The 10,272-nt window shown below is 32.9% G+C and overlaps 1 protein-coding gene across 1 annotated transcript in view; it reads left to right on the top strand.

Moving 5' to 3' along the window:
* Positions 1-1,472: 1,472 nt before the first annotated feature.
* Positions 1,473-10,272, top strand: part of EPYC (epiphycan) — a 41,291-nt gene continuing 32,491 nt past the window's right edge. The window contains exons 1-2 of the mRNA NM_004950.5: positions 1,473-1,498; positions 3,867-4,044. Of these exons, the coding sequence (NP_004941.2) occupies positions 3,880-4,044 (165 nt within the window). The 5' untranslated portion in view covers positions 1,473-1,498; positions 3,867-3,879. The remainder of the gene's footprint in view (positions 1,499-3,866; positions 4,045-10,272) is intronic.

Genomic DNA, 10,272 nt, shown 5'->3' with positions numbered 1-10,272 from the left:
TCATCTGAGTCTCAGTAGTCCCATCTGTGAATAGTGGTAAGCACTCTGCTTAAGAATGTGTTGAGGTGATTAACAATCATATATGAAATCACCTGACACCCCACGTGGACCTTGCTTCTAAAGAGGACAAGCCTAGAAACTTGGATTCAGGCATCTTTCCAGCACTGCTTCTAAAAGTGGCCTTTATATGGTGGGGTGAGACTTCACAGATGCCAGAAATAAGTTCCTGTCTCCAAGATGGCCTCTCTATTTTTTGAGAGGTCTTGGTAGACTTCATACATTACCCATTATCACTGTTTCTGCTCCAAATAAAATTGTTTTTGAGAAAAACAATGCATACTAAGAACAAATCATTTGGAAACAGGGTTGGATGATGGGGATGACAAATAAGAATGCCCTGAATAGATGGGCAAAGACATTTTGAGGGCAGGGAAGATGGGAGCAGAGGCAGGAAGGGGAGTGAGAGAACCTTAAAGACAAACCTTCTTCTCTCCCATCACTTGGCCCAGGAGTAATACCGCTTTCAAAATTCAATACATCTATTCACTTGCAGACATGAAGGAAAAGATTCCTGAAGCATAAGTGAGAACCAAATTCCTAGATTTATCTAAAGCATACCAGAATACAAGATGCAACTTTCACCTTTCTCTAGGACTTATACAATGTAAAATTGAGGTATGGAAATTTAAAGCATATTTTTTCTCTTCATATTTGTATTAAAGTTCAATTTTACAAACCATGGAAGTTAACAAGAGCTTAAAATAAAGCTCCTATTCTAAGGAAAAAATGTGTAATTTGATTTATTTGTCTATGATAGATACAATAACTTTTTTTAAAAAAAGCCCCTTTTCTCCCCAAAACACGCAGATCATATTTATGCATCACTTCTGGATGTAATTTTTTTAAAGTTATGCAAAAGGTTCATTTTTCCCTGTTTTGCTATCAAAGCATTCCATGCAATCAAAATAATTGGGATATCTTTTTTTACTTACCCAATATTAAACAGGTAAGGTTTCTGCAACATTTACCAAATTTCACTTAACATTAATGAAAAGTGAAGAAAGCAATTCAAGACTTCAAGTTTTGGGAAAATTATTTCTTATTAGAACTAAAATATCCATCTATAGTATCACTGTATACATGAACTTCATTTCTTAATTGGTGAGTTTGTTACAGATGAGGTATGTTAAATCCAACTTTTTCCATTTAAAAATTTTAAGGTGATACTTTGGCAATTATAACTCCATTAACATAATTTCAAGAACTTTGTATACTATGTGATTTGGATCCTACTGCTTAGTTTGGGTGACTATAAAATAATTTGAGGTTTTTTAAAGACTGAGAAGTATTTCTCAATATTAGGTTTTGCAAACAGAAAGTTGAGTGTTATAAATTCCACCTCCCACAGACCAGAATTCACAGCCATTGGTCAGGGGCAAATACCACTAGCTCTGCATCCTCAGTCACTTTGTGCCATTTCATCAGGTCAGAGCCAAAGGTAAGTTTTTATACTTGCTTTCTTCTTGGGTCAGAGTTCTTTCCCTACTATAACAACCTTTAAAAAATAATTTAACTTGCCTTAATGTCATCTGGTGAATTTTGATTCAATGGATTTGGTTTATTTTTGTTATTGACTTTGTATTTATATTATTCTTGGAAAATCCAAAATTTTGAATTAGCTTAGGAATTAATAACATACAGCAAATAGTTAATCTCAGTAGTCATGACAGATGCCAATAAAATTAGAGTAGTTTCCAATATATGCCTTAAGTAAAGTTTCCTGACACAGACCACATTCTTTGCCAGTATAGACAGGCACTATTGATTGATATTAATTGAAATTTTGTGAAAAGGGAGGAAATAGTGAAATTTCCTGAGATTAAAAGTATTGTAATGATTACATGACATTATGCATTTAAAATTTTTTTGAGCTATATATTGAAAGTTTTAAATACACAAATTTTAAAATATTAATAAATGGTATAAAGTGAACACAAAATTAAAGTGTTAATTAAGAAACTACATTAAATGCTAATACAATTACTTGAAGAAAGGAATATAAATTTTTTAACTAAACATAGATAGATGCTGTATATATTTTTAAGATTCACACAGCCTGCCTTATAGTTGATAGCTCTAGGAGTGATGCAAAATGCAAGCAAATTCTGAGATGTAGCTATATGTAATCAAATATAGTATGATGTGAGAAAAAAGGCCAGCAAGTGTATAATTTCTTTGAATAATGGAAGTTGCCAGAAACATATAAGGAAAAATTTTTTTTAAGTTGGTAGTGGCTTCTGTTAATGTTTCCAACTTGATTATGGGAGAATGGTTCCTGGAAGATTTGCAAACCCACTGTTTTATTAAGTAGGACTTTGTTGGTAATTGCCTAGAACAGTTCCAAATCTGCAATCCTGCAAAGACTTCTGCAAAGGCAACTGAAATAGAGGCTTAGTTTATCCTGTGTGAATAAGAAATTTATTTGAAGAAAGCATAGGAGAGCTAAGAAGGAGCTCCTTGTACTGCTTCTTATTCTCAGAGGAATTTCATATCCTTCTGCCTAAACCTGCTTCATAAAGGCTTTCTTTCAAGTAACTGAAGGTCATTTTGTCTGCCAGTGCATTCAAGTTTAAAAGTAATATTTATCATGAATTCCCTTTTATATGTATGCATAGGTAGTAACACCACAGGTACTGTTCTTAAAGTAAACCCAAGAAGTGTGTCCAAATGTAAAAGCCTCTAAAATTAGACATGCTTGATACAGAATTTTACAATACTTTGCCTGCTCAATAAGGGATCACTAGGTAACATTTTGGTAAGACTAACTTAAATGTTTCAAATTAAATGTGAAGATTTTTTTTCTAAACCAAAATGTATTCAAATGAGTACATACAGAACTAAAAAAATAATTAAATTATAGGATCTTGATTGAATCCTCAAAAAGCATAATGTTATAATGGAAAATAAGAATTGTGCTTATTAAGGAATTAAAAAACAAAGATGGCTATAATCCCACAGGCATACAAGGGAATCTTACCAAATAGTGCCTTTTAAACATGTATTCCTGTTGGTTCTGAGTTCAAATCTTAGATAGCTATTAAGAATTAAATAAAATACTGAGGACTAAAGGAAATTTTTTTTCTATTCTATTTCATTAGGAGCATTTTGAACAATATTGCATGAAATACTAACGTACATATTAAACAATGTATGTATTTATATGTCCAGAGGCTACAAAGAAGTAACAGAAAAAACAAACAAAACTTTGTTACTTTGTTCTGAAGAAGGCCTTAGACTTAAATGTACAAGAAACAGTTATGAGTCCTATTTTTAAAATTATTTTTAAAACCCCAATGCCTAAGCCACACTGTGGATCACTGAAATTGGAATTATTTGTGGATATCCTAGTTGCATTACCAGTCAACTCTGCCTCAGTTTCTTCACCTATAAAATGGTATGACAGTTGCAGTCATCATCACCGTCATCATCATTATCCTTATCATCTTCAACTTCATATCCCAGAGTTGATGAAGGATCTTAATGTTTATTAAATGGTAAAATTATTAGATGATGAAAAGCTTTTGTGAATAAGCTCTGTTTTTCTCTATAAAATAAAATAAAATTTTACTGTAATTAAAATATCCACTGTAAAATTAGAGACAGGTTTGTGAATTAATTTGAACATCTGGCAGCAATGGTCCTAGGAAATCAGATGATTTTGTGTGTTATGTTTATAAATTATCCATGGAAGGAAAGCTACCAGCTTGAGTTCTTTGATATTGACACTAATTTATCATTTCTATTTAGTGCAAACTATTCATAAGTTATCAATTAAATATTTATGCATTTTAATATTTTATAATTAGGAAAGCTTGAAAAATGAAGACATTAGCAGGACTTGTTCTGGGACTTGTCATCTTTGATGCTGCTGTGACTGCCCCAACTCTAGAGTCCATCAACTATGACTCAGAAACCTATGATGCCACCTTAGAAGACCTGGATAATTTGTACAACTATGAAAACATACCTGTTGATAAAGTTGAGGTAATCGATCCTCCTACTCTTGAAACTTTAAAAAGCATAGGATGAGGAATGACTTGGGTCTGTTTTCCTCAAATAGATGTTTGGGTTTTTTTATAAGTAGAAAGATTTTATGTTAATAATTTCATATTAACCTTTTCTCCAAAACATGTTCAATCTTTTGGAGGTTAATACCGGAACAGTCTTTTGCCCTTTTTTTTTTTTTTTTTTTTTTGAGACAGTGTCTTGCTCCATCTCCCAGACTGTAATGCAGTGTCGCAGTCTTGGCTCACTGCAACCTCCGCCTCCTGGGTTCAAGCAATTCTCCTGCCTCAGCCTCCCGAGTAGCTAGGACTACAGGCTCGTAGCTAGGACACACGCAGCTAATTTTTGTATTTTTAGTAGAGATGGGATTTCACCATGTTGGCCAGGATGGTCTTGATCTCTTGACCTCGTGATGCACCCCCCTCAGCCTTCCCAAATGCTGGGATTACAGGTGTAAGCCACTGCACCTGGCTAGTCTTTTGTTTTTTTAAAGCTCATGTTATTTCCTTCAAATTTTATTGCCAAATTGAACATAAAAATGTATTTCTGTGAAGTTAGAACAGAGAAAATTAGAAAAAGTCAATCAGCAAGGAAAAGAGTTAAAATGGTATGCACGCAATGATGTGGAAAATTTGGGGTAAAGGAGAAAGATGTGAGATTGAAATAAACTAGAAGAAAATAATAATAGAGAGAAAGAACAATAGTTTGGAACTCCACTGTAGCTCAACAGTGAATGTGCTTCCCTAAATAACTGATTGTCTCTCCGGCAGTAATGTAGAAATTGGCAAGGTTGTAGCCCATTCCATAAATCTGATATGACATGTTCCTAATTAAATACAAGTCTTTTAATATAACTAAAGGATACAGGCTAATCTTTATGAATCAGAAAGCAAACAGACCTTGAAATGCAGGAGTGTAACTAATGTGCAACACTGACAAAGACTAATTAACTATAAATAAACAAAAAGAGAAATTACATCACCTTTAAAGGATCATAACATATTTTGGGCAATCTTTAAAGTGTAAATCTTCTTAGAATAACTACTTTTGATAACCAAGGATAGAAAATATTTAGATGAAATCGTATATTTAACTTGTATTGAACTTAGATATATCTTTACTAAGAAGATACTAAAATTTTTCAATATTGTTTATGTTGCCTTATGAATACAAGAGTCAGATTTTCACAATGTGATAGATTTTAAAAATCTACTCCCCTCTCCCCCTTCTCTCTCTTACTTTCACCCTCACCCTCTTTTGACCCTCATTTCATCTTTCCCTCCCATTTTTCCTCTCTTTAGTAAAGTTTAGGCTCTACAGCAGATTATTTTTCTTCTGCACATTTGATTGTGACTCTAAGTCTTTATTAATATTCACTGTTTGATTTATTTCACTGTATGGATTCTGTCTGTTAACAGGATTTTCTGTTGAGAATTTATGGTTGATAACAACAATCTTGGCCTATGTGACTTCTACATCTCCAATGTGATGCATCAATGTAGAATATAAGATGAAAGTTTTTCAGTGGTTAATTCATCTGCCTTGCTTCTTTTTTCATCTTGCATAAAAACACATTTTTTTAAAAAAAAGTTAGTGCATTTCTGAATTTATCTATCAAATTAAACATTTTAGTTCAAACTTATTTGTCATTTCCCCCCAAACTATTCCAGAGGATCAGAGAGATTTGATGATCACTATAACTGAATCTTCTATTTTGAGTAGGTTTTGGGAATGGTTTCAAGGGTGCTATTTATTCCTTTCACAAGTCCAAATACACAATAGAAAAAAAAATGCTGTTTGGGATCATGGCTTCTCTAGGCAAAAATGAAAAAAATGACTATATCTGCAGAGCTCTTTTAACCCATTCCTTACCATCAGGATCATTTTCACTGCCCATAAAGCTGTAGGCATTCTCATGAGGTTCGGACATTTTTCATGACATCAAGAAATTTAAGCTAACAAACATATCTGTATAAACATTACTTAATATACAATATTATCTTAGTATCTGTGTTTTCTGGAACAACAACTTCCTGTGGAATGCCAAATATAATGTGAAATACCAAATATAAAGCATTGCGTCTTTACATACTTCAGCCTTTACCACATACAAACAATTCTAATTTTACACAGAGTCCTTTCTGAGAAATTTTACTTCAAACCAAACTTAGAATACTCAGTGAGTGAGGGATCCAGAGAGCCACTAACAATCCCTTGTGGTTGACTGAAATATATTAGTTATCCCTTACTTAACATTCCTTGGTGATGAACTCATGATCAGAAAAACCAGTTTGTAGGTAGACGGTATAGATACAGATATAAATAGGCATATACATATGCTATAATAACTCTAATGCACTTAAAATAAAACCTGTAGTTTTTTAAAATATTTATAGGGTAGACCTAGTAACAAGAAATCAACCAACTCACTCATCCATTATCTAAGAAAAAAAGAAATACAAAAACAAAAATATATGATAAAGTAAATAAGATGACATGAGGAACAAAATTTAGAAGAACTTTAGCTCAGATATTAACAAATTAAAATGAATTGCTTTTCAAACAAGCAAAAAAAACAGCACACAATTTCTTATGGGGTGATGTAAAGTAAAGATGATAGATCCAGTCATGTGAATAGATTAATAGAGTTACTCATGACATGAATTTCTTCATGCAGTCCTGGAAGTCCAGATTTCAGTGACTCGTGGTAAGCATATTTATCTCATTTTTATATATTAAGGTGAGTTGTTTCAAATGTTCTTGATTTCATATGAAACATTCTGACTAAATACTACTAACGTAACCAATATAGGGTACAGTTAAAGAAAAAAATCCATGGTAAGTAAAGCACATGGAAAATGGTAGGATGAGATTCTTCATATTTTTTTAAATCTCCTATGTGTGTGTTTCTGCCTGTTTCAGCCTAGAATTTATCTCATCTGTAGAATAGAAAACCTTTGTTCTAAAATTATAAATTTATAGGATAACTGAACAATGCCTTTAACATATGTACCAGTTTCTTATAAGTTATAAGACTTGGCATTTTGGACTAGTGTAATAGACCCTTGGTTTAGGCTTTGGCAGATTAATTCTTAAGGCCTTTGATGTATATTGCAGGCAGAATTCTAAGATGTTCCCTAAAAGTCCCATTCCTAGTATACCCATGCCCTCTATAATCCTTAATATCATGGGTATTTGGGGATATCACTTCTATAATTGGGCTATACTATATGGCACAGTTGAATTTAAGAAAGGGAGACCACCTAAAAGGGCCTGACCTAAACTCATGAGATGTTTAAATCAGCATCTTGATGTCAGAGTCAAAATTTGAAGCATGACAGAGATTCAAAGCAAAGTGAACTGTGTGTTGATGACTTAAAAGATAGAAGGACCAATTTGGTAAGGAATGTAGAAGGCCTGTAAATGGTGAGAGAAACTGATGGCCAGTAAGCATATGTGGTCCTCAGGCCTACAGACACAAGGAACTCTGAGCTCTGCATGAGACCACAGCCCTAGTCATCACCTTGACTTTGACCTTGTGAGACCCTTGGGAGAGAAGCCAGTCAGATCAGGCCTGAACTTCTGACCTACAGAAACTGTGGGCTAAAAAAATGGGTATAGCTTTACTAAGTTTATGGCAATTTGTTATGCAGCATGAAAAAATTAAAACAAGATAGAACAACTTAAAAGTTTTTTATCTGAAAATCAAATTTGAATTATTCCACTGTAAGTGTTGCATTTGCATTTGTGAGTCTAGGGATTTAGGTGGTCAATAAGTCAAACCATCCCCAAAACCCAGGGGAAGAATCTCAATTGAGCTTTGTTGATTTCTACTGATGGTGGTAGATTTATTGCCTCCTGAGTTGTTGAGAAAGGGTCATTAAATTATTTGTGTTTGAAAATTATATTCAGTAATATAATTTCAAACTGATTATTTGTGTGATTTCTCATGATCTAGAATATCTATGATCCATTGTTTTCTATATTAGAAGCAAGTTTTAGACCCAACAATGCCATCAGAGTGCTATATATTACCCAGTAAGTACATTTATTGGTGTGACATAAAATGGTTGCAGCTTTTACTGCACTTTCATTTTACTCTAGTGCTGTGAATAGGAATGGGTTGTAGGCTATATGATCAAAATGTAGACTTTTTGCTTTCTGATAAACTACAGCTAACCTTAAGTGAGCATTTATTATGTGCTAGGTACTGTTCTAGTCATATTACATATATTATCTCATTTATTTCTCACAACAAAATTATGAATTGCTATTGTTATTCCTATTGAATAGATGAGGATTTTTGGACAAAGAGTAGTTAGGTAAGTAACTTGACTAAGATTAAACAGTTAGTAATTATATATCATAATAGTGATGCTGTCTTCTCATATCACAAAATAATTTCCAAAAGGGTGATAAAAGACTATTATTCTGCCCCCATTTTCTGTCAAGCTCTAAATTGTTCTTTTAACTTGATATTTGTTTTAGTTGAACTGAATGCCAAGTACTCTACGACTCCCAAAAGGAAAAGAAAAGCCTTTTTCTATGGGTAGATAATGTGAACTAGAGGTAACCTTTATAGATAATGGACTCTGTTATCTAATTATTATAAGAAAGAATGGCATAAGACTACTTCTAATTGTAAGTATGCATTCTTCAACATATATCTAAGTTCTGGGCTATAATTTTATGTTTATCACATATTTACTAGTCTAGGAAAACATTTTTCCATGTGCCTTAAAGGGTTCATCAGAAAACTGCATTGTTCAAAAGTTGATATTCTTTGAGTGTTTTAAACTGAGATAGTCTTTTTGATGAAGGTGGTTATTTGAAGTCTCCATTGTCATGTTATAGTTTTAAGTTATTTATATTTCATTTTGCTTAGGTTGGAGGGGGCTTCAACTTGTTTTCTAAGAACAACATTAGCCCTAACTATGTGTAATGCATTTTTCCAGCAAAGTGCTTGGTAGCAATATTAAGATGTATAGAGGCTCTATAGAAGGATGTCAACATCCACTCATCCAGTAAAATTTTCTTGGCTTCATCCAGATTAATAAACTCCTCCTCACCTCTACTACATTAATTAACGTAGCCTTATATAATTACTTTTACTTTTCCTGTACTACCCCTGTGTATTCAATAAACACCAAGAAATGTTATACTACAAAGTGCTATAGAGCTGTTAATTGTATTTGCTGTATGATGACATGGAGGGCATTTACAATGACATTAAGTTATGGTCTTTGTGGGGATGTGTAAGAAAAATTTCTCTCAGGTCTCAGTGTCAGAATGGGTTACAACTTCTAAAAACAGTTGCTTACTTTCTGGGTTCTATATTGGTAACTGAGTGTGCTTGTCATTATGGCTTGCCTGCTCAGCAACCTGGAGCCCAATTTTTGTCTCAGTCTTCCCTGGTTTCATATAACTTTGCCTACCTTTATTTTCTTGTCACCTCAACTACTTATGTAGATTTTTAAAAAGTATTACCATATGTTGTTTTAAAACTGTCCGTATCCTTTCTGGAATGATATGGTATATGCATTCATCAGTAAATAACTGTAGCAATGAATAAAGGAATATTAGTAAAAACTGGTCATAGAAAATTTCTTGCATGAGAGATGCTTTCCTTGATATTACCCTCCAGTGATCTTAAAATTGAGGCAAATTCTCTTCCATGGACAGATAAAGTGGCTAGATTGTTTAAAATCATCCTTGTAAAGAGAAGTGCCATAAAATACAGCAGTTACAGATGATGAATTTTTTAAAACTCTAGAAGATTTTTGAAAGGAATGAAAATTATATTTAACAAAATTGTAGGAATGGTAGAGAACTCAATAAGGGCAGTTGTATCAATTAAATTTTGAGGAATGGTTTCTTTTTATTTGTCTTTATTATAATATGGTGCAATGCAAACTAACCAAGCCTCAGCACCAAGCAATATACTCCTATAATAAACCTGTGCATGTATCCCCTGAACTTAAGATAAAAATAAAATTTTTAAAAAATAAATAGATAATAACTTTAGAATATATGTTGATGCTCTGTAACACCAGAAATTGCTTAAGGAGAATCAAGCTAATTCCGGACAACTTCCAGAAATCAAAGCACATTTTAGATAATGATATATAAAAAGTATCTTAACATTAGTTTTTCTAAATATAATAAATCGGTATAGGACTGCATTGATATTAAAGGGTAATTAGTCTA

This window comes from Homo sapiens, chromosome 12, assembly GCF_000001405.40.
Source record: "Homo sapiens chromosome 12, GRCh38.p14 Primary Assembly".
In the NCBI taxonomy this organism is placed as follows: domain Eukaryota; kingdom Metazoa; phylum Chordata; class Mammalia; order Primates; family Hominidae; genus Homo; species Homo sapiens.
This window is presented reverse-complemented; position numbering and strand designations above follow the sequence as displayed.